The sequence below is a fragment of the Homo sapiens genome, chromosome 8 (assembly GCF_000001405.40).
Source record: "Homo sapiens chromosome 8, GRCh38.p14 Primary Assembly".
NCBI classification, from domain to species: domain Eukaryota; kingdom Metazoa; phylum Chordata; class Mammalia; order Primates; family Hominidae; genus Homo; species Homo sapiens.
Window position 1 is genome coordinate 131090140 of NC_000008.11, and position 26100 is coordinate 131116239.

A 26100-nucleotide genomic window follows, 5' to 3' on the forward strand; every position below is an offset into this window, starting at 1 on the left:
CAAGGTGAAGCAGCTTGTGCCAAAGCAAAAGCTGCAGCCAGTTATCCAGAGGATCTAGCCTAGGTCATTGATGAGGTGGCTACACTAAACAGATTTTCAACGTAGATGACATAGGCTTATATTGAAAGAAGATGCCATATAGGACTTTTATAGCTAGAGAAGAATAGTCAATTCTTGACTTCAAAGCTTCACAGGATAGGTAGGCTGTCTTGTCAATGGCTAATGCAGCTGTTAACTTTAAGTTGAAGCCAGTGCTTGTTTACCATTCTGAAAATCTTAAGGCCTCTAAGAATGATGCTAAATCTACTTTGCCTATGCTCTAGAAATGGAAGAACAAAGCCTGGATGACAGCACGTCTGTTTAAAGCATGGTTTGCTGAATGTTATACACTCACCATTTAGACCTATGGCTCAGAAAAAACAAATTCCTTTCAAAATTTTACTGCTCATTGGCCACACACCTGGTCAACCAAGAACTCTGATGGAGAGGCCCAAGGAGATTTATGTTGTTTTCATGCCTGCTAACAGAACACCTATTTACAACTCATGAGTCAAGGACTGATTTAGATTTTTCAGGTCTTATTATTTAAAAAATCCATTTCATAAGCTCCAGCTGCCATAGATAGTGATTCCTTTGAAGGATCTGGGCAAGTAAATCTTTTGGAAGAATTCACCATTCTAGGTGCCATTAGGAACATTCATGATTCATGGGAGGTGGTAAAAATATCAACATTAACAGAAGTTTGGAGGAAGTTGATTCTAATCCTCATGGAGGACTTTGAGAAGTTCAAGACTTTAGGGGAAGAATGAACTGCAGATTTGGTGGAAATAGCAAGAGAACTAGAAAGAAGTGGAGCCTGAAGAGGTGACTGAATTACTGCAACCTCATGATAAACCGTGAATCATGAAGATTGTTTCTAATGGATGAAAAGGAAAGTTGTTTCTTAAGATGAAATTTACTTCTGGTGAAGATGCTGTGAACATTGCTGAAGTAAAAAGAAGGATTTAGAATATTACATAAACTTAGTTGATAAAGCAACAGCAGGTTTCAGAGGATTGACTCCAATTTTGAAAGAAGTTATATTGTAGATATAATGCTATCAAACAGCATCATATGCTGCAGAGAAATCTTTAGTGAAAGTAAAAGTCAATTGATGTGGCAAATTTTATTTTTGTCTTATTTTAAGAAATTGCCACACCACTCCAGCCTTCAGCAGTCATCACCTTGATCAGTCAGTAGCCATCAACATCAAGGCAAGACCCTCCATCAGCAAAACCTTCATGACCTGCTGAAGGCACAGATGATCATATCATTACCATGTTTTAGCAATAAAATATTTTAAAATTAAAGTGTATAAATATTTTTTTTTGAGACATGGTCTTACTCTGTCACCCAGGCTGGAGTTCTGTTGTGTAATCTTGGCTTGGTGCAGCCTCCACATCCTGGGCTCAAGGGATCTTCCAACCTCAGCCTCCCAAGTTGCTGGGACTACAGGCTCATGCCACCATGCCCGGCCAATTTTTTTTTTTCTTTTCTAGAGACGAGGTTTTGTCATGTTGCCCAGGTCTCAAACTCCTGGTCTCAAGTGATGATCCTCGGGCTTTGGCCTCCCAAAATGCTGGGATTTCAGGCATAAGCCACCATGCCCAGCCAGTATATTTATTTTTTAGACATAATGCTATTGCACACTTAATAGACTATAGTATTGTGTAAACATAACTTTTATATGCACTGAGAAACCAAAAAATTTGTGTGACTTTCTTTATTGCAATATTGGCTTCATTGAGGTAGCTTGGAACTGAACCCACAATATCTCCAAAATATGCCTATAGATTTTAGCTGCTTTTTGCCACACAAACAAACAAAAAGGGTAGCTATGTAAAATGATACATATAATTTGTTTCACCTTTTTACTATCCATAACATCATGTTATATATTTAAATATACACAATTTTAAATGTGTATAATTTAAATATACACATTTACTTCTAAAAATTAGATATTTAAAGATTTTTGTAGCAGACTTTACCGATGTGCATTGATTATCAATGTGCCTCCTCCCATATGCACACAAATGCTTATACATTCTTGCAGATAGACAGAACCATATGGCTCTGTCTGACCAAAATCACTTCTGGACTGACGCATTTAAGAGCTAGTTTGTGATCCGCCTTCTACCTGTTTTTCTTGTATGAGTAACAACTAAGCTTCCTTTTGGGATGATAAAGCATTTGTTATCTGAGTCGCTAGTGACAGTATTGGTCAGAGACCCTGGATGACATATTACGTGAGTAAAAATAAACTTTTGTTGAGTTAAGCCACTGAGATTTTGAAGTTTGTTATTGCAGCACAGTCTATGTTATGACTTCTCAGTGTCACAGTTAGCTGAGAAAAAGTTTGACTCAGAATTTTTTCCAGCTTTATTGAGATATAACTGACAAATAAAAGTTGTATATATTCAAAGTGTACAATGTGATGATTTGATGTATATGTAGATTGTGTAATGATTGCCACACTCAAGTTAATTAACACAACGCTCACTTTGTAAGGGAATAGAATGGTAGGTACAGTGAAAGGGTGGTAAAATTATTTATCACCTTCTTTGCGTTTCTACATCATTTTGTTCTTACTTCACATATAGCATGTGCCTTACTGAATTGCAGTGTGTATTTTTACATAGTACTTAGTTCCACTAGACAGTGAGATTTGTATTCAGGATTTTGTATCTAGATGATGCCTTATTTATCTTTATAGCCATACACATAATATGGTGGTAGGCAGAGTAGATTCATGGATTTTGAGTAAAATAATGAATCTGTAAGTATACAAAAGCAACTGACAACCAGACACAGTGGCTCACACCTGTAATCCCAGCAATTTGGGAGGCCGAGGTGGGCAGATCATAAGGTCAAGAGATCGACACCATCCTGGCCAACATGGTGAAACCCCGTCTCTACTAAAAATACAAAAATTAGCTGGGCATGGTGTCATGTGCCTATAATCCCAGCTACTCAGGAGGCTGAGGCAGGAGAATTGCTTGAACCAGGGAGTGGGAGGTTGCAGTGGGCCAAGATCACACCACAGCACTCCAGCCTGGTGACAGAGTGAGACTCCATCTCAAAAAAAAAAATAAATAAATAAATAAAAGCAACTGACACAGGGCCTACACACAATTGGATGTTCAGCAAATTACTGGTTGAACGAATGAATAAATATCTGAATACATGAAAGAATGAAAGAGGCCACTTGTATTAGACTGTTCTCATGCTGCTGATAAAGACATACCCAAGACTGGCTAATTTATAAAAAGGTTTAATTGACTCACAGTTGCACATGGCTGGAGAGGCTTCACAATCATGGTGGAAGGCAATTGAGGAGCAAAGTCACGTCTTACATGGTGGCAGACAAGAGAGCTTCTGCAGGGGAACTCCTATTTATAGAACCATCAGATCTTGTGAGACTTATTATCTACCAAGAGAACTGTATGGGGGAAACTGCCCCATCATTTAATTATCTCCAACTGGGATCCTCCCATGACACAGGGGAATTATGAGAGCTACAATTCAAGGTGAGATTTGGGTGGGGACACAGCCAAACCATATCACCATTGTATACCAGGAAAGAGGGGTGAAGTTATAAAAGTTGTAAACAGGACCCTAAAAGCAAGAGTCAGAAGGTCTCTGAGACAAACTCCATGTGTTTTATGATCTGTGAGACGCACCCACATCTCTAAGCTGTAGTAGGAGATGTGTCAGGGAACCAGCTGCTGCTCCCTGGTGGTGGTGTCCTTGGTGGAGGTTGGGGAGGGGTAAAGGCTCTCTGGATGCATGGGGGTGGGGGTGATTTACTTAGTGAGGTTACAGGGCAAGTGGCAGCATATATTAGGAAAGAAGCTATTGTAACAACCTTTTTAAGTCTAGGCTTAAGAAAAGCTGTCAGATTTGGATGGGGAAGACAGGCATAGAGAAGAAGGATAATAGTTCTGGAATCTGAGCTAACCTGGTCAGGTGCTCCAGGTATGGCTTGGAGTCTTGGAGGTGGCTATGTTCCAGGACCTGGGAAAGTAGCCTGGATAGAGGTCTGAGCCCGGCTACTGCTTTTGGGTCCAACTTTCATGCAGTTGCTACTTGGCTACCAGGAGCCCTCCCCATGTAGCTGCAGATATTCCATTATCCAAGCTTCCTAATCGAGTCGGGGATGTCTATTTTTTATGCATCTACTCTGAGATTACTACTAGAAATAACTGTCTCCAACGCTTGTATTATTTTTATGTTGTGCTTGTGTGATTAATGGTTGTAAGATGAGGTGAGATAGTAAGTGTGCTCAAGCATTGAACTCTGGGGACAGATAGGAGCAACCTGGGTTGACCCTGAGCTGCGAGAGATGTGGGGTAGAGAATGGACTCTGGCTGTACTAATAAAAAAGGCTCTCATTTATTGGACAGTTCCTAGATTTTTGGGAGCTCAGCTAAGGATATTTTCATAAAAACAAGACTCCTGAATTTAAATCCAATAGTGGGACTTTGTGAGAATCATTTAATCTTCTCAGGCCTCAGCCTTCTCATCTGAGAAATGGGGATAATGATTCTACTATCTCATGAAGCTGCTATGAGTATTAGTGAGTTAATGAAAAAGAAAAACTTAAAACAATCTGACAGATGGTGAGCCCTCAGTCAATGTTATTGACTTTTGTTGTTATTGTTTAATTCTCACCACAATTCAGTGGGTCCCATTGCTATTCTTACTTTCTCTATATAGAAATTGGGGAACAAGTTCATGAGGAAGTTAGTGAGGCCACTAGGACAGGAATCTAAGCCTGTCTGAATTTGGAGCCTTGACTCTGAGCTACTTTACTGAGTTGGATTGTGTCTTCCAAATTTACGGAACCTCAGATTGTGACCTCAATTGGAAACAGGGTCTTTGTAGATATATTGGGTAAGATGAGATCATACTGGATTAAGATGGGCTCTAAATCGAATGTGACTGGTGTAATTATAAAAAAAAGAGAGGCTACACAGAGGCGCTCCCAGGAGAAGCCCATGTAAAGAAAGAGGTGAGATTGGAGTGATGCATCAAGAAGTTAAGGTGGCCGGGCGCAGTGGCTCAAGCCTGTAATCCTAGCACTTTGGGAGGCCGAGGTGGGCAGATCACGAGGTCAGGAGTTCGAGACCATCCTAGCTAACATGGTGAAACCCCGTCTCTACTAAAAATACAAAAAATTAGCCAGGCGTGGTGGCGGACACCTGTAGTCCCAGCTACTCAGGAAGCTGAGGCAGGAGAATGGCGTGAACCCAGAAGGCGGAGCTTGCAGTGAGCCGAGATCGCGCCACTGCACTCCAGCCTGGGTGACAGAGCGAGACTCTGTCTCAAAAAAAAAAAAAAAAAAAAAAAAAAAAAACCAACAAAAAAAAACAAAACTCAAAGCACTGCTGGGAGCCACCAGAACCTGGTAGGAGGCATGGGAGGATTTCTTACACTTCAATTTCAAATTTCTGGCATTCAGCTCTAAGAGAGAGTATGTTTCTGTTCTTTGAAGCCACCCAGTTTGTGCTAGTACTTTATGTCATCTCTAGGAAACCACGATTGCCACTATACTCCTTGCTGGACTGCTAGTCCAGCCCTGGATGGAGCTTCTGTTTTGGGGGATTGAGGGTCTGGGATTCTCTGTGGAGTCTTTCCTGTGTCTGACTGGCAAGCCTATTTTTAACTTTAGCTTGTGAAGTTCATTTGGAGGGATTTTCTCACTTTTCAGTAGGAGTCAGACTTTACACCCCAGAATGCAAGTTTTTAAAATGACAGAACTGCAGAAAGGGCTTGTGAAGATGCCTAGAGGGTAAGAAAAGCTTTTTTTCCTTTGATTATTGAAGTCTTTGGGGAAAATTTAAATCATGATCATCAAAATAATTTCAAACATTGTCATGTCAAGCACTATATTAAGCACATTAAATGAATTATCTCATGTAATCCCATTAAACACCATGAGGTGTTTAATGCTACTATTCTCCCCATTTTCTAGATAAGAACACTGGCTCAGAGTGCAAGCAGTGTGTCACACTAGGGTGAAGGTTAGCTGGGCCATGGCTCTTGCCCCAGGCCCTTAAATGTCAATCTTGATGCATGGGAGGTTCTCTGGAAGCTGTGGCAGAAGTAAAATCACTGGAAATAGTCAAACTTCATTTGTACCTACTAGTCTATGTTCTCCATTACATTGAATGAGGATGAAAATCAATCCATCCACCTTGAATCCAGCATGGTTTACATGGTTAGAACTCGGGAAACTCAAATTGCTGTTTTCAGCTTGAGAAGCTAAAAAACAAAATGAGAGAACAATAATCAGAGGTTAGTACTTTTGTACATTTCAGCAAGAAAACATCAAGATGATGTTAGAGTGTTTCTGCAGCTCAATGTAGGCAAAAATTTTCATAGAGCATTAACAAAACTTTTAAACTAGGAATGAAAATGACAATATAGTGAGTACCTTTGAAGTGCCAGACCCTTCTTTATACATATTTTCACATTAATTCTTACTATAACCTTCAAGGTGGGCATCAAATATCTCCATTTTATATATAATAAAAGAGGGGGTTGGAGATGTTATGTGACCTGCATTAGGCAAAAAAGTCTTCATCTCTCTGACTCCAAATGATACTTGTAATTAATATGCACTTGGCAATTATGTCCCAGAAATTATTTTAAAGGATTTAACATAGGCTGAATCATTTTATCCTCACAGAAATCCTAAGAGGTAGGTTTTGTTATTATCCCTGTGTTAAAATGGAGGCTGCATAGTATTTAATATGGTTTGGCTTGGTCACCATCCAAGTCTCATCTTGAATTGTAGTTCCCACAATCCCATGTTGTGAAAGGGACCTGGTGTGCGATAACTGAATCATGGGAAAGGCTTTTTCCTGAGCTGTTCTCCTGATAGAGAATAAGTTTCATGAGATCTGATGGTTTTGTAAAAGTGAGCTCCCCTGTACATGTTCTCTTGCCTGCTGCCACGTAAGATGTGGCTTTGCTCCTCTTTCACCTTCTGCCATGATTGTGAGTCCTCTCCAGCCATGTGAAACTGTGAGTTCACTAAATCTCTTTTTCTTTATAAACTACTAAGTCTTGGTATGTCTTTATTAGCAGCGTGAGAACGGACTAATACAGTGTTCCATGGTATATATGTACCACATTTTTCTTTATCCAGTCTACCATTGATATATCATGTAACACTATGCAGCCATGAAAAAGAATGAGATCATGTCTTTGCAAGGACATGGATGGAGCTGGAGGATATTTTCCTTAGCAAATTAACACGGGAACAGAGAACCAAATACCGCATGTTCTCACTTATAAGTGGGAGCTAAATGATGAAAACACATGGACACACAGAGGGGAACAACACAGGCTGGGGCCTTTTGGAAGGTAGAAGGTGGGAGGAGGGAGAGGATGAGCAAAAATAACTAATGGGTACTAGGCTTAGTACTTGGGTGATAAAATAATCTGTACAACAAACCCCCATGACACAAGTTAACCTATGTAACAAACCTGCACTTGTACCCCTGAACTTAAAATAAAAGTTAAAAAGTCTAAATTTACACATTTAAAAAAATAAACAAATAAAATGGAGGCATTCAGGTGGATTAAGTTACTGTTCCAGGTCACCATTTGGCAAAACCAGAATTTGAACCCAGGTGGCCTGTTCCAGAGCCTGTGCTCATTGACCTTTTAAGTTCTCAAACAAACAGCATGCAGTTGATTAGGAGCAGCAACTGTAGCAGTAAAAGTAACAAAAAATAATGTGTAGCTGGGGTAAGAAAGTTTTGTTACTCAGAATTTCCCTTAGATGGTCTGTCCTGACATGAGAGGATGGTAAGGGAATAGGTCAGACCATAAAGATGGAAGAAGTAGAATTTCCTGGTAGGGAGAGATGGGATAACTAGGAGGGATGGGAGAGGGAGAGAGGGCCTGGAGGAGGCAGGCATTTATGTGCTCTATCATAGCTCAACAGTGTTGGGCAGACACTGAAAAGCAGCCTGAGTAGATGTAGAGCTGGCCAGAAGCAACACTGGAGGAGGGTAGAGCCCAAGATGAGGAAGAGATTGGGAGAATGTAATTGTCCTGAAATTAGGAGAAAAATCTTTGGGAAAGGCACAGAGTTTGAGAGGTGATGGCTTTGGGATTGAGGGAGCTGAAGGCAGATGAACCAGATTTTCAAGGGTATAGGAATGCCCACTGACTGACTTCCTGAGTTGAAAATGGTATTCAGATATAGATCAACCTATTCATCTAGGACTCTTGCTATAATTATTTATTAATCTGGTTTTCTCTGTGGAACCATTATCTTCTTAATCATGTCATGTTCTCTTGCAGCCAAGGACTTGGGGATAGTGGAGTGGGGAAAAAATGAACATATTTGCGATGACTGCTATGTGCTATAGTCCTAGGTACATTGCATATTTCAGTCCTACCTGGAACAACCAACTGTACTAAGTAAGAATAATTATTCTAATTTGACAGGTGAGGATAATCAGTTTCAAAGAAGTTAGTTTACTTTCCTAACATAATTAAGCTAAGTGACTTGCCCCAATAATAAAAAAAAACTATTTTAAAATTTATATAGAACAAAAAAAGAGCTCACATAGCCAAGACAATACTAAGCAAACAAACAAACAAACAACAACAATAACAAAAACTGGAGGAATCACTCTACCCAACTTCAAGCTATATTACAAGGCTACAGTAAACAAAACAGCATGGTAGTGGTACCAAAACAGGCACATAGACCAGTGAAACATAACAGAGAACTCAGAAATAAAACCGCACATCTACAACCATCTGATGTTCAACAAACCTGACAAAAACAAGAAATGGGGAAAGGACTCCCTACTTAATGAATGGTGTTGGGAGAACTGGCTAGCCATATGCAGAATGGCTTCCTTACACCTTATACAAAAATTAACTCAAGATGGATTAAAAACTTAGATGTAAAATCCAAAACTATAAAAATCCTAGAAGAAAATCTAGGCAATAACATTCAGGACATAGGCATAGGCAAAGATTTTAAGATGAAATCACCAAAAGCAATTGCAACAAAAGCAAAAATGGACAAATGGGATCTAATTAAACTAAGGAGCTTATCCATAGCAAATGAAACTATCATCAGAGCAAACAGACAACCTACAGAATGGGAGAAAATTTTTGCAATCTATCCATCTGGCAAAGGTTTAATATCCAGAACCTACAAGGAACTTAAGCAAACTTACAAGAAAAAAGCAAACAACCCCATTAAAAAATGGGCAAAGGATATGAACAGACACTTCTCAAAAAAATGCATGTGGCCAAGGAACATGAAAAAAAGCTCAATATCACTGATCATTAGAGAAATGCAAATCAAAACCACAATGAGATACCATCTCACACCAGTCAGAATGGCAATCATTAAAATGTCAAGAAACAACAGATGCTGGCAAGGTTGCAAAGAAATAGGAAAGCTTTTACACTGTTGGTGGGAATGTAAGTTAGTTCAATGACTTTGGAAGATAGCATGGTGATTCCTCAAAGATTTAGAACCAGAAATACCATTTGACCCAGCAATCCCATTGCTGGGCATATACCCAAAGCAATATAAATCATTCTGTTATAAAGATACATGCACATATATGTTCATTGCAGCACTATTCACAATAGTAAAGACATGGAATCAACCCAAGTGCCTATCAATGATAGACTGGATAAAGAAAATGTGGTACATATTCACCATGGAATACTATACAGCCATAAAAAGGAATGAGATCATGTCCCTTGCAGGGACATGGATGAAGCTGGAAGCCACTGTCCTCAGCAAACTAATTCAAAAACAGAAAACCAACCACCACTTGTTCTCAATTATAAGTGGGAGCTGAATAATGACACACATGAACTCAGGGAGGGGAACAACACTCACTGAGGCCTGTTGCGGGAGGGCAGTGGAGGAAGCCATTAGGGAAAAGAGCTAATGCATGTTGGACTTAATACCTAGGTGATGGGTTGTTAGGTACAGCAAACCACCATGGCACACGTTTTCCTGTATAACAAACCTGCACATCTTGCACACGTACCCTGGAACTTAATAATAATAATAATTAAATAATTAAAAATAAATAAATAAATAGAAAATAACTTGCCCAAGAAGTTGACAAACAGGTTTGATGACTTTCCCAAGGTCCCTCATTTTTCTGACCCCAAGATTACACTCTTCTCTTTCCGCCATTGCTACCTTATCATATTCCAGAGCCTCCCTTTGTTCCTTCAGCACCAACACAGAGCCGAATTCTTCCTAGATACTCAATAAACATTTCTCTTAATTGAGTAACTGTGAGATGACCAAGGTTAGCAGCAGGATGGGCTTGTCCCATTTTTTATTTTCTAGAAGTTTATTCAGGAGGGACCCTGGATATCCTGGAAAGGAAAGCTAATTCAGGTAATAATTTTACCTCTAATAATGCGAATTTTACATATTTCCCTCCTAAGCTCTCAAGATCCTACTCATTGAAGCGTGCTAATTTTTTTATTAGCTATTTCTGGAAGTGTTTCAGAGTTAATAGAAGAACCGTAATGATCAGGTGGATTTTTTACCAGATGCCTGCAGAGTATGAAAGCTCTGCTTCATTGTCTCTCTTGCTTATCTGTGACTTTGTAAAAAGGTCATCACATTTCTAGGCCTAAGTACCTTTTCAGAATAATGGGGATGTTAATGCTTTCATTAATTTTTAATAAAATGTACTTAAGTGAATCTTTAAGGTTTCTACCAGAAGGGAGGACAAATTCTGAGATTTAAAAAATTTTTTAAACAGCTCTTTTTAATTATAATTGATACACAAAGAACTGTGTATATTTCGTGTGTAAAATTTGATGCACTTGGACATATGCATCACCATATGGCAATGCCATTGTGATACGATCACCACAGTCAAGGTAACAGACAAAATCAACACCTCCCAAAGTGTTGTTACCATAAAAATAACAATGAAAAAAAAAAAAAGAGGCACAAGGAAACATTGGGAAATCCTGAGAAGTGGAGGCAGACACCTGCTTTAGAGTCCTGGCTGTTTAAGTCCTTGTCTGTATAAATTGGATTCTTGAATATGTTCTTAACATTCTAACATTTCTATTTCCTTAATTGTTAAAGCGATTTTAAAAACCACCCTCCAGGTTATGAATGGCTCCTTCTGGAGTTTTCTAATGAGGAGCCTGGCAAACATTTCTAGCCTGGACCTCTGCACCAGCTTTCTAGGTGGTGTCCCCACCCAAGGTCATGTCATAATGCTGATCTTTCTCCACACCTGTATTAGTCCATTCTTACACTGCTATAAGGACATATCTGAGACTGAGTAATTTATAAAGGAAAGAGGTTTAATTGACTCATAATTCTGCAGGGCTGGGGAAGCCTCAGGAGACTTACAGTCATGGCAGAAGGGGAAGCAGCCATGTCCTTCTTCACAAGGCAGCAGGAGAGAGAAGAATGAGTAAAGAGGGAAAAGCCCCTTATAAAACCATCAAATCTCATGAGAACTCATTCACAATCATGAGAACAACAGTATGGGAGTAAACATGCCCATGATTCAATTACCTCCCACCAGGACCCTCCCATGAAATGTGGGGATTATGGGAACAACAATTCAACATGAGATTTGGGTGGGGACACAGCCAACCCATATCAACACCACAGCTAGGAGCACATCAAAACATGGATCAGATCCCATCTCTCTCCGCTTAAAGCCCTCTAACTGAAAGTAAGGTGACTGCAGAAGCAAGCACTATGCATTCCCCCAGAGAGAATCAATTCCGTGCCTGGCATTGTCTGCTGGAGTCATTTTAATGAAATTTACAGTTTCTCTAAGCCTCAGTTTCTGCATCTACAAAAGGAGAGCAGCAACACTTCTTTTGGAACAACTATGCTCACACATCCCGCTGTTGACCTATTGAGGCAGTTGTTAGTTTGTATTATTATTGCTTCTTTACCTGGCTATTATCACTGTGATGCTCTAAGTTGCACTAGGACAAGGCTTTTATCAACTGTTTACTCCTGTCTCCCCAAATATCTAGCACAGGGCCTGAAACAGAATAGTATTAAACTGATATTTTTAGACTGTCCAGCTGAAGTCTCTAACAACAAGGATTCTGTATTATCAACAAATGTATTCCTATTTCCTGGTACTAGGTTATTTTTTCTCCCCCTTTTCTTTCTCGTTGTTGAGATCTCTGCAGTGGCTCTCCTGAAGACAGCAAATCAGGACAAGCACAGCCCAGAAGGTTTGAGAGAGATAGAACATAGGCCACAATGGTAAGACAGTTTCAGACTCATCATTTTTAGGAGTGGTGAATTAGTTTTTTTTTTGTTTGTTTGTTTTTTGAGACGGAGTCTCACTCTGTCACCTAGGCTGGAGTGCAGTGGCATGATCTTGGCTCACCGCAAGCTCCGCCTCCTGGGTTCAGGCCATTCTCCTGCCTCAGCCTCTTGAGTAGCTGGGACTACAGGTGCCAGCCCCCACCCCTGGCTATTTTTTGTATTTTTAGTAGAGACGGGGTTTCACCGTATTAACCAGGATGGTCTCGATCTCCTGACCTCATGATCCACCTGCCTCGGCCTCCCAAAGTGCTGGGATTACAGGTGTGAGCCACTGCGCCCAGCTGGTGAATTAGTTTTCTATTGCTGCAAAGCAAACTGTCCCAAACTTAGTGGCTTGAAAGAGCTAGCATTTATTAGCTCAGTTTCTGTGGGTCTAGAGTCTGGACACAGATTAGCTGGATCTTCTGCTTCAGAGTCTCACAAAACTTGAATCAAAGCATCAGCCAGGACTGCATCTCATCTGAGGTTCAACTGGGGAAGGAACTGTTTCCAAGCTCATGTAGTTGTTGGCACCATTCAATTTCTTGTGAGCTATTGGTCAGAGGCCACCTTCAGTTTCCAGAGGTCTCCTTCAATCCTTCCCTAGATGTGTCCTCTTTGTCCCTAGAGATCCGGTTTCTACCTGCTTGGTGCCCCAGGAAGCTGACTTCTGTGGAGTGCATCAACTGAGCTCTTTGCTGTCCAACTTCTGGTTGGGTTTGACCAAGGGGAGAAACCAGCAGGAAATACAGAGAAGGAAGAAGCTTCATCTATGTCCATTCCCCTCAATCCTTCTCTTCCAGGCCTTGAGTTGCCTGTTTATTTCTAAGCAAATATTACAGAATTATTTTCTCCAGCTGCCTTCAGCTCCAGTTACTGTGCCTGGATTCGTGTAAACTGCTTCTCCCCTTGCTACTTAGGGTGGCAATGTCTCCCCTGGTTTGTTACCCCAGGGGGGCTTCATCATCCCTGTCGGTTTCCCTTAATCTGCTCACATCTTTACAAATATTCCCTTTATAAATTTTCCTTATTTACCCCATTTGTCTGTGCTAATTTGCCAGGACCCTGATATAACATCCTTTGACTAAAGCATCCTGACTTTAATCTACTACAGGTTCAGTACGCCTTATCCAAAATGTTTGGGACCAGAAGTCTTTCAAATTTTGGATTGTTTTTATTTTGGAATAGTTTAATTATACTTACTGGTTCAGCATTTCTAATCTAAAAAATCCCAAATCATCTACTACAGCATAGCTATTCCCATAGCTCTTATTTACAAATATCAAACAGAAAGAAACAGGGTCAGCAACAGTTGGTTAAAAATTGCCTTGCTTTTAAAAAATCTTTACATTTTTATTATAAGTAAGGGTAAGTACCTACCACTATCACATCTCTTAGTGTAATTATCCTTTATGCTACACTTAGAGAATTATATGGACTTTTATTGACTTTAAAAATTATGTGTAATAGTAGGCTATATTATTATACATGAACTTCATTTCTAAAGGAGTCATTAGATTTATTTGTAATAAGATAGCAGTGTTGGATCTGATGAGGCTGATCACTCCTCTTAGATACATCTGTATCTTTCATGTTCCCTTGACTGTGGCTGGCATACAGCAGGAGCTCAGTAAGTGTTAAAGAACTGAGTGAGTGGGTGGATAAATTATCTGCCTGCAACATTAGTTTAAGTTTCTTGGTGGACACTGCTGTGTGTTGTTTGAATGGCACATCTTTAGGCAGAGATCGCCATCCCTACATCACTGACTTCTGGGATTGGGGACAATTTATGCAACATTCTATTCCCTGAGAATAAGGCAAATTCTACACTGAGAGAACTTTTGCAGGTGGCCTTTTTTTGGGGAGATGAAACACTTTCTTGTTTTCTCAGTGTAAATCTGTTAAGAAAAGGATTGCACCTTGAAATTAATGAGCTCAGGAATGGAACTTAAAAACAACACAAAACAAGCAAAGTGTTCCTAGTATTGTTTGGGTATACAGAAGTCTCCCTTGAAGGGGAGACTTTATATACCCCTGAAGGGTGTATGTTCCAAGATATCTAGTGGATGCATAAGGCACAAACAGTACTAAACCCTATATTTTCCTATACATATGATCAAGTTTAATTGATAAATTAGTTACAGTATTAGATTAACAACCATAATAAAATAGAACAATTATAATTAAATTCTGTAATAAAAGTTATGTGAATTGTGTTTCTCTCTTTTTTCTCAAAATGTTTTACTGTAGTATTCACTGGGTAACTGAAACCACAGAAAGCAAAATCATGGATAAAAGGTAATATGGTTTGGCTGTGTCACTATCCAAATCTCATCCTAAATTGTAGCTCCCATAATTTCCATGTGTTGTGGGAGGGACTAGGTGTGAGATAATTGAATTGTAGGGGTGGTGTCCCCTATACCGTTCTCATGGTAGTGAATAAGTCTCATGAGATCTGATGGTTTTATAAGGGGAAACCCCTTTTGCTTGGTTCTCATTCTGTCTTCCCTGCTGCCATGTAAGATGTGACTTGCTCCTCCTCGCCTTCCACCATGATTGTGCGGCCTCCCTAGCCATGTGGAACTGTGCCAATTAAACTTCTTTCCTTTATAATTACCGAGTCTCAGGTATGTCTTTATTAGCAGTGTGAGAACAGACTAATACAAAGGGGAACTACTGTATGTTGCTCCTAGGGACCATTGATTTGCCCACTACTTGGACTTCTTTCCTGTGCATGTCTTCAGTTGCTTCCACTATTCTTCTCTGGAAATGATTTCATGTCCCCCATATTTATCAGTCCTCCCCAACCAGCCCAATGTGTCTCTTGGGTAGTGATATTGCTTTCTATCTTGTTGTGTCTCTGAGGTTGTGTGTTTCCAGGAGATTTGCACTAGCTGCTAGATGTGCAATGAATGCTTGTAGGTAAATCTTTAACCAGGAAATGATCTTGGAAGTTCAACGTTTCCATGTTTCCAAAAAATAAATCGGAAATTACAGAGGTGTGATTACTTGCCTCAGGTTATAGGGATGGTTAGTGACAGAGCTGGACCAAAAGGCCTTGAATCAGGGTTCTCTGTATATAAAATTTTGTGATTTAGAGGGAGGAGAATACAAATAAAATATTTCTTAAGCTAAAATGTAAAGATGTGATTATTCTGGTTAATAAAAATTCAGAATATATATTATATGTATACTGAACTTACACATATAATACATGCATAGTTATAGCTTTCATTTAAAATAATACAGTCCGTTGAAAGGCCCTATCAAAGTATGGAGATAATTTGCATAAAACATACATATTAAATATGAAAAGGAAACAGTAAAAATGAAAAAAAAACTGGAAAGAAGAAAAGAACTCAATGTGCCAAGTAATTTACATACTGACAGCAAGTTTATTTGAATTGAACATAGAAATGTATGTAAATTGGCCCGCCTATTTAAGAAAAAGATATGCAAATAGATGTCCACAGAAATCTGCTACCCTTCACGCTGAAGTAGAAAACAAGATGCTTAATTTCTGCTCAAATTATTATTTTTTCTTTCCAGAATGTCCCCTCAGGAAACTCTAGGAACAAATTCTTCCATGTCTAGCATTTAGCCATTCATTCATTCATGTAACTGTCTTGCATGGTTCTGAGCCAGGCATTATATAGGGTGCTGAAATTACAAAGATGAGTAAGACACAGAAAGTTCTAGTCCTTGAGGAGCTCAAAATCTAATGAGAAAAAAAGATGTAGATGGTCTCTTATGACCACTGGGATCCTTATGCACTGGGAATACATGTGCTCAATGTACAAAAGCACCTGGGATACGTATGTTGTTATATATATAACATAAAATGGCAGTGGTGCATATAATAAGGTTGACAGTGACTCTATTGATATCTCATATTCATGATGTTTCCATGACAGCCAGTGACCTCAACTTTCCCATTTTTCTTTGAGTCCCCTTCTCTTATTGCTTCTCCATCTTTTCTAAGTCCTCATTTTGGGTTCAACATTTTCAAGTGCCTCCTGACTGTCTTTAAGCCTAACCACGATCTGTGTAGTCTTTCTAAGCCTATTCCTCTATAATTCCATATTGATCTTTCTATATAATGGGTCACAGGAATGAAACTAAAAGAAAAAAAGACGAGAAAAAGGAAATATATTTCTCTTGAAGAATTTGCTTTCAAAAAGTATAAGATTTGGGAGGGGACAAGAATTCAAAATTTCATTTAGTACCTTGATAATTATGCAATCATGAGTAAGTCACAATCACTTTTGAATAAACCACAGGGAAGAGTCATGAGGAGGACGACATGAAATAATGTAAGTAAAGCAAATTTATGTTTCCATCCTAGGCCCTTCCCTAAAACTCCAGGCTCATATAAACAACTGACTATGTGACATCTCTACTTGAACATCTTAGATTCATCTCAAAACATAACTAAAACTGAATTGCTGATATTCTCCCCCAAAGCTGTTCCACGCATCTCCTTACCTAAATCTTTTAATGGCCATTGGCCACTCTATCCTTCCAGTTGCTCAGACCAAGCCCTTGGAGTCATCTTTTACTCTTCTCTTTCTTTCATGCCTCACATATAATAAATAAGAATATCTCATTGTCTCCTCCTTCAAAACACAACTAGAATCCAACGATTTTTATGAAGTCCATGGCTATCATACTGGCAACATCACATAGTTTCTCAGCTCAGTTGTGATAGCCTCTTTAGAACTCTCCCTACGTTGACAATGATGCCTGTAAACAGGCATACCTAAGACATTGCAGGTTTGGTTCCACACCACCATAATAAGGCAAACATCTCAATAGTTTGAGTAACAGAAATTTATTTGTTTCTCAGTACATGTAAAAATCATGTTTACACAATAGTGTAGCCCATTGAGTGTGCACTAGCATTGTGTCTAAAAAAAATATACATACCTTAATTAAAAATAAGTTGTTGCTAAAATATATAATGATAATCTGTGCATTCAAGTCATAATCTTTTTGCTTGTGGAGGTTCTTGATGTTGATGGTTGCAGACAGATCAGGGTGGTAGTTGCTGAAGGTTGAGGTGGCTGTGTCAATTTCTCAAAATAAGACAACAATGATGTTTGCAGTTTTTTAAAAGACGATTGACTCTTTTAAAAAAATTTTGTCACCAAAGATTTCTCTGTGGCATGTGATGCTGTTTGATACCATTTTACCCACAGCAGAACTTCCTTCAAATTTGGAGTCAACCCTAACAAACCCTGATGATATTTTATACATAGGTTTATGTAATATTCTGAATCATTTCTTGTTATTTCAGCAATGTTCACAGCATCTTCACCAGGTGTAGATCACATCTCAAGGAGCCACTTTTTTCCCCCCTCATCCATAAGAAGTAACTCCTCATTGGCTCAGGTTTTATCATGGGATTGCAGCAATTCAGTCACATCTTCAGGCTCCAGTTTTTTGTTTGTTCATTTGTTTGTTTGTTTGTTCATTTTGAGACAGGGCCTAGCTCTGTCACCCAGGCTGGAGTACAGTGGTGTGATCTTAGCTCATTGCAACCTCTGCCTCCAGGGCTCAAGCCGTTCTCCCAAGTAACTGGGGATATAGCTGTGCACCACCACACCTGGCTATTTTTTTTTTTTATTTTTGTAGAGATGGGGTTTCACCATGTTGCCCAGGCTGGTCTGGAACTCCTGAGCTCGAGAAATCCTCCCACCTCGGTCTCCCAAAGTGCTGGGATTACAGTGGTGAGCCACTGTGCCTGGCCTCAGGCTTCATTTCTTATTCTAGCTATTTTGCTATTTCCACCATATCTGCAGTGCCTTTCTCCACTGAAATCTTGAACTCCAAGGATTTGAATCAAGTTTTTCCAAATGCCTGTTAATGTTGATATTTTGACTTCCTCCCGTGATTCATGAATGTTCTTAATGGCACCTGGAATGCTGAATCTTTCCCCGAAGATTATCAAATTACTTTGCCCAGATACATCAGAGCAATCATGATTTATGGTACCTGGAGCCTTACAAAATGTAATTTTTAAATAATAAGATTTGAAACTTAAAATTAGTCCTTGATCCATGGGTTGTAAATAGGTATTGGTTAGAAGACATGAAAACAACATTAATTCTTTTGTACATATCCATCAAAGCCCTTAGGTGACCAGGTGCATTGTCAATGACCAGCAATATTTTGAAAGGAATCTTTTCTTTTTTGAGCCATAGATCTCAACAATAAGCTTAAAATATTCAGTAATCCAGGTTGTAAAGAGATGTGATGTCATCCAGGCTTTGTTGTTCCATTATACAGCACAAGCCGAGTAGACTGCCATTATACAGCACAAGCTGAGTAGCATCGTTGTTAAGGGCCTTACAATTTTCAGAATGGTAAATGTGTATTGGCAATGCACGAAAGTTACCAGCTGCATTAGCCCTTATTAATCAGCCAGTCCTTTGGTGCTTTGAAGCCAAGAATTGACTTTTCTTCCCTAGCTATGAAAGTCCTACATGACATCTTCTTCCAGTATTAGGCTGTTTCGTCTGCACTGAAAATCTGTTATTAGTGTAGGCACCTTCATCAGTTATTTTAATTAGATCTTCTGGAGAACTTGCTGTGGCTTCTCTATTAGCACTTGCTGCATGGCCTTGTACTTTTATGTTACGAAGACAGCTTCTTTTCTTAAACCTCATGAACTAATCTCTTCTAGCCTTTAATTTTTTTTTCCTCACCTTTTTCAGTCTTCATAGAATTGAAGAGAGTTAGGGCCTTTTTCTGGATTAAGTTTTGGCTAAAAGAAATGTTGTGGTTGGTTTGATCTTTTATCCAGATCATTAAAACTTTCTTCATATCAGCAATGAGACTGTTCTGGTTTCTTATCATTTGTGTATTCACAGGAGTAGCACTTTTAAGTTCCTTCAAGAACTTTTCTTTTGCATTCACAACTTGGTTGACTGTTTGGCACAAGGGACCCAACTTCCAGCCTGTCTTGGCTTTTTACATGCCTTCCTCACTAAGCTGAATTATTTCTAGGTTTTGTTTAAAGTGACTCTTCTGTTCACTTGAATAGATATAAGCCATTGTAGGCTTATTAATTGGCCTAATTTCAAGATTGTTGTGTCTCAGGGAATAGGGAGGCCTGAGGAGAGGAAGAGAGATGTGTGTGTGCAGGGAGGGAGCCAATCAATGGAGCAGTCAGAACACACACAACATTTATTGATTAAGTTCACCGTCTTACATGGATGCAGTTAGCGGCATCCCAAAACAATTACAATAGTAACATCAAAGGTCATTGATTGCAGATCTCCATAACAGATATAATAGCAATAAAAAAGTTTAAACTATTGCAAGAATTACCAAAATGTGACAGACACAAAATGAGCACATACTATTGGAAAAATGGTGTCGATAGACTCACCACAAACCTTCATTTTGTAAAAAACACAATTCTGTGAACAGCCATGAAAAGAAGCACCATAAAATAAGTTATGCCTATAGTTGGTTCTCAGGAGAGAAGACAATATAATGTTTCAAAATCTTAAGTCAGGTCATGTCACTGCTCAAACCCTGCAATGACTCCCCATTTCATTCAACATAAAAGCAAAGCTTCACAATGACCAATGGGGGCCTGTGTGAAGTGGCCCCTCATACCCTCTCTGACCTCAGCCCTCTGCTCTGTCTCTGTCCTTGCACTTTCTTATCTGGCCATCTTGATTCCTCACTGTTCCTTAATTTGCCCACACAAGCAGCTGCCGTGGGACCTTTGTACTAGTTGTCCCTCTGCCCAGTACCCTCTCTTTTTCATGTACTTGAATGGCTCATTTTTTCCACCTATTTCAAGTTTTTGCTCAGATTTCACCTTCTCAATAAAACCTAATGGGACCACCAAACACTACAGTTCTCTCGCCAGTCCTCTTGATTCCGCTTGTGTTGCTATGTTTTCTGTTTTTTTTTGTTTGTTTGTTTTGTTTTGTTTGAGATGGAGTTTCGTTCTTGTTGTCCAGGCTGGAGTGCAATGGCGCAATCTTGGCTCACCGCAACCTCCACCTCCTGGGTTCAAGCGATTCTCCTGCCTCAGCCTCCCGAGTAGCTGGAATTACAGGCATGCACCACCACGCCCAGCTAATTCTGTATTTTTAGTAGAGATGGGGCTTCTCCATGTTGGTCAGGCTGGTCTGAACTCCTGACCTCCAGGTGATCCGCTTGCCTGGGCCTCCCAAAGTGCTGGGATTACAGGTGTGAGCCACCATGCCTGACTACGATGTTTTTTAGTAACACCTAACCTCTTTTTAATGAGCTAGAAAATGTATTCATTTAGTCTGTTCATTTTTAATTGTATATTACCCCCACAATATGAAGTCGCTCCCACCAAGGGCAGTGATTTTGTGTGTTTTGTGTACTAATATGCCTCAGTCTATATCTACAAACATATTCAGAGATCTATAAATATTTGCCAAGTGAGAGTACCTGGCTTACAGCAAGAGCTCAATTATGATCAGTTTTCTCTTTCCTGTCTCATCTGCAAGTGAAAAGCTACAGAATGTTTGTTAGAATCAAAAGAAGAGATGTCACCAGCTGTCTTTCCTCCCTGTCCTTGCTGTTGACAAGTCCCCATTCAGTGTGGGGAACTGTCACTGCTCCTGAGGTGACATTTTCCACCTGGGAAGGCATTCATTGCTCCTGACGTGGATTCATGTCACATTAGGACAAATGCCATGCCTCTCCTCCTCTTCGTGCCAGATGCCATGTTCCACTGCATCTCATGAACAGAAGTCTTGTACTCCTCACCAGGAAAACACTGATCCTCTTTTCTGTTTCCTCTTTGCTTGGCAGACTGCCATCCAGGCCCTGAGTTTCACAGCTTTTCTTTGTTGAAAGGATTTTCTTTGCTTATGTGTGAGAAGTTTTTGCCTTCCTGGTTACATCCATTGTGGCTTCTGAGCCTATTTGGGTTGTCTCTGCCAGGACTTAATCTTCCTGACTTAGGCCTTGCATAAAAGAGAATGCTCAGTGGACTATCACTAACATTATGTTGCCCAAACAATGAATGTTATATTATAGTTTACAAAGCCCCTTTCTATTCATTCACTTACTCATTTGGTCTTGCTTTTTTATATATAAACTCAACTTTTATTTTAGATTCAGGTGGTACATGCGCAGATTTCTCACATGGGTATATTGTGTGATGCTGATGTTTGAGATACAAATGACTCCATCAACCAGGTATTGAGCATCAACCAGGTATTGAGCGTATACCCAGCAGTTTTTCAGATGTTGCCCCACTCCCTCCCTCCTGCCTTTAGTAGTCCCTAGTGTCTACTGTTGCCATATTTATGTCCATGAATACCAAATGTTTAGCTCCCACTTAAAAGTGAGCACATGCAGTATTTGGTTTTCTGTTCCTACATTAATTTGCTTAGGAAAATGGCCTCCGGCTGCATTCATGTTGCTGTAAACCTGTGATTTCATTCTTTTAAGGCCTGCATAGTATTCCATGGTGTATATGTACCACATTTAAGTAATACTTTTATAATTTTTGTGGGTACAGAGTAGGTATATCTATTTATGGGGTACATGAGCTGTTTTAATAGAGGCATTCAATGTGAAATAGGCACATCATGAAGAATGGGGTATCCATTCCCTCAAGCATTTATCCTTTGGGTTACAAACAATCCAATTACAATCAAGTTATTTTAAAATGTACAATTAAATTATTATTGACTATAGGCACTCTGTTGTGCTATCAAACAGTAGGTCTTAGACATCCTTTCTATTTTTTTTAACCCATGAACCATCTCCATCCCCCACTCAGCTCTCCTCTATCCTCCCCAGCCTCTGGCAACCATCCTTCTACTCTCTATATACATGAGTTCAATTGTTTTAATTTTCAGATCTCACAAATAAGTGAGAACATGTGTTATTTGTCTTACTGTCCTGACTTATTTCACTTAACATAATGATCTCCAGTTCCATCCATGTTGTTACAAATGACTGGATCTCATTCTTTTTATGGCTAATTAGTATTCCGTTGCATATATGTACCACGTTTTCTTTATCTATTTAGATAGGCATCAGTTGCTTCCAAATCTTGGTTATTGTAAACGGTGTTCCAACAAACATAGGAGTGCAGATGTATCTTCAATATACTGATTTCCTTTCTTTTGGGTATATACCTAGCAGTGGGATTGCTAAATCATACAGTAGTTCAATTTTTAAATTTTTGAAGAACTTCTTAAATGTTCTCCATAGTGATAGTGATTGTACTAATTTACATTCCCACCAACAGTGTACAAGGGTTCCCTTTTCTCCACAACCTTGCCAGCATTTTTATCGCCTGTATATTGGATATAAGCCACTTTAACTGGGGTGAGATAATATCTCATTGTAGTTCTGATTTGCATTTCTCTGATGATCAATGATTTTGAGCACCTTTTCATATGACTGTTTGTCATTTGTATGTCTTCTTTTGAAAAACATCTATTCAGATCTTTTGCCTATTTTTCTTCAGATTATTAGATTTTTTCCTATAGAGTTGTTTGAGCTACTTATATATTCTGATTACTAATCCCTTGTCAGATGCATAGTTTGCAGATATTTTCTTCTATTCTGTGAGTTGTCTCTTTAGTTTGTTGATTGTATTCTTTGCTGTGCAGAAGCTTTTTAACTTGATGTGATCTCATTTGTCTGTTTTTGCTTTGGTTGCCTGTGCTTGTGGGGCATTACTCAAGAAATCTTTGCTCAGATCAATGTCCTGGAGATTTTCCCCAATGTTTTCTTGTAGTATTTTCATAGTTCTAGGTCTTAGATTTAAGTCTTTAATCTATTTTTATTTGAATTTTGTATGTAGTGAGAGATAGGAGTGTAGTTTTATTCTTCTGCATACGGATATCCAGTTTTCCCAGTACCACTTATTGAAGATACTATTTTTTCCCCACTGTGTGTTCTTGGCACCTTGTTGAAAATGAGTTTACTGTAGATGTGTCAAATTGTTTCTGGGTTCTCTACTCTATTCCATTGGTCTATGTGTCTGTTTTTATGCCAGAACCATGCTGTTTTGGCTACTATAGCTCTGTAATATAATTTGAAGTCAAGTAATGTGATTCCTTCAGTTTTGTTCTTTTTGCATAGGGTAGTTTTGGGTATTCTGGGTCTTTTGTGGTTTCATATGAATTTTAGGATTACTTTTCCTACTTTTATGAAGAATGTCATTGGTATTTTGTTAGGGATCACATTGAATCCATAGATTGCTTTGGGTAGCATGACATTTTAACAATAATGATTCTTCCAATCCATTAAAATGGATTATCTTTCCATTTCTTTGTGTTGTCTTCAGTTTATTTCATCATTGTTTTACAGTTTTCATTATAGAGATCTTCCATTTTTGGTTAAGTTAATTCCTAGGCATTTGTTTTTATGTGTGGCTATTGTAAATGATATTACCTTTAAAATTTCATTTTCATATTTTTCACTGTGGGCATATAGAAATGATATTGATACTTGAATGTTGATTTTGTATCCTGTATCTTTACTGAATTTATCAGTTCTACTAGTTTTCTTGTGGAGTTTTTAGGTTTTTCCAAATATAAGATCATATCATCTGTAAACAAAGATAATTTGACCTCTTTCTTTCTAATTTGGATGCCCTTTATTTTTTTCTCTTGTCTGCTTACTCTAGCTAGGACTGCCAGTATTATATTGAATAACAGTGGAGACAGTAGACATTCTTGATGTGTTCCAGATGTTAAAGGAAAGGCTTTCGGTTTTCCCCCATTCAGTAAGATACTATCTGTGGTTTTGTTATTTATGGCTTTTATTGTGTTGAGGCACGTTCCTTCTATCCCCAGTTTTTTTAGGGTTTTTTTTTTTAATCATGGAAGGATGCTGAATTTTATCACAGGGTTTTTCAATATCAATTAAAATATCGTATGGTTTTGTCCTTCATTCTGTTACTATATCACATTGATTAATTTGTGTATGTTGAACCATCCTTGCATCCCTGGAATAAATCCCACTTGTTCATGATGAATGATTTTTCTAACGTATTGTTAAATTTGGTTTGCTAGTATTAAGGATCTTTACACCAATATTCCTCAGATACATTGGCCTGTAATTTTTTTATGTGTCTTTGTCTGGTTTTGATACCAGGGTAATACCAGCCTCATAGAATGAGTCTGGAAGTAGTCCATCCTCCTCTATTTTTCTGAATCGTTTGAGTAATATTAGTGCTAGTCCTTTAAATGTTTGGTAGAAATCAGCCATAACACCCTCAGATCCTGGGTTTTCCTTTGATGGGAGACATTTCAGTGTGGCTTCGATCTCAGTATTGGTTTGTTGAGGTTTTATATATCATCATGGTTCAATATTGGTATATTTTATATGTCCAGGAATTTACCCATTTCTTCCAGATTTTCCAATTTGTTAAACATGTCATTGTTCATAATAGTCTCTAATGATTCTTTGTGTTTCTGAGGGCTCAGTTGTTAAGTCTCCTTTTTCATTTCTGATTTTATTTATTTGGGTCTGCTCTCTTTTTCTTAGTGTAGCTAAAGGTTTGTCAATTTTGTTTACCTTTTCAAAAAACCAACTCTCCATTCAGTTAATCTTGTCTATTGCTTTTTTTAGCCTCAATTTTATTTCCAATCTGACCTTTATTATTTCTTTCTTCCTACTAATTTTGGGTTTGGTTTCTTCTTGCTTTTCTAGTTCCTTGAGGTGCACCATTAGGTTGATAATTTGAAGTCTTTCTACTTTTTTTGATATAGATATTTATTATTATAAACTTCTCTCTTAGTACTGTTTTTGCTATATCCCACGGATTTTGGTATACTGTATTTCCATTTTCATTTGCTTCAAGAAATTTTTCAATTTCATTCTTAATTTCTTCATTAATTCAATTGTTGTTTAGGACCATATTGTTTAATTTCCATGCATTTGTATATTTTCTGAGGTTCCTCTTGTTATTGATTTCCAGTTTTATTCCATTGTGGTCAGAAAAGATACTTGATATGATTTCTATTTAACTGAATTTGTTCAGACTTGTTTTGTGGCCTAAGATACAATCTATTCTGGAGAATGTTCTATGTGGTGATGAAAATAATGTGTTTCTGTAGCAGTTGGGCGAAATGTTCTGTAAATGTCATTTAGGCCTATTAGGTCTGGTATGTAGTGTAACTGTGCGTGTCTTTGTTGATTTTCTGTCTAGATGATTGGCTTACTATTGAGAATGGGATATTAAAGTCTGTTACTATTATTGTATTGCAGTCTATCTCTTCTTTTATATCTATTAATGTTTGCTTTATATGCTTGGGAGCTCTGGTGTTGAGTGCATAGATATTTATAATTATTATATACTTTTGATGAATTTGTCCCTTTATCATTATATATTGATCTTCTTTGTCTCTTTTTATAATCTTAGATTGGTCATCTGTTTTATCTGATATAATTATATCTACTTCTGCTCTTTTTGTGCTTCCAGTTGTATGGGATATATTTTTCCACCCCTTTGCTTTCGATCTATGTGTGTCTTTACAGGTGACATGGGTTTCTTGAAGGCAATGTATAGTTGGGTCTTGTTTCTTTATCCATTCAGCCACTCTATACCTTTGAATTGGAGAATTGAGACAATTTACATTCGGCATTATTACTGATAAGTAAGAAATTGCTACTGCCATTTTGTTGCTTGTTATCTGTTTGCTTTGATACTTCTCTCTTTCCTTCTTACTGATTTCCTTTGTGGTTAAATGATTTTTCTCTGACAGCACCTTTTA

At 38.5% G+C, this 26100-nt stretch overlaps 1 long non-coding RNA gene across 2 annotated transcripts in view; it reads left to right on the forward strand.

Annotated features, from left to right (window-relative positions):
- Nucleotides 1-26100, forward strand: part of LOC105375760 (uncharacterized) — a 257327-nt gene that overhangs the window by 50618 nt on the left and 180609 nt on the right. The window lies entirely within an intron of this gene.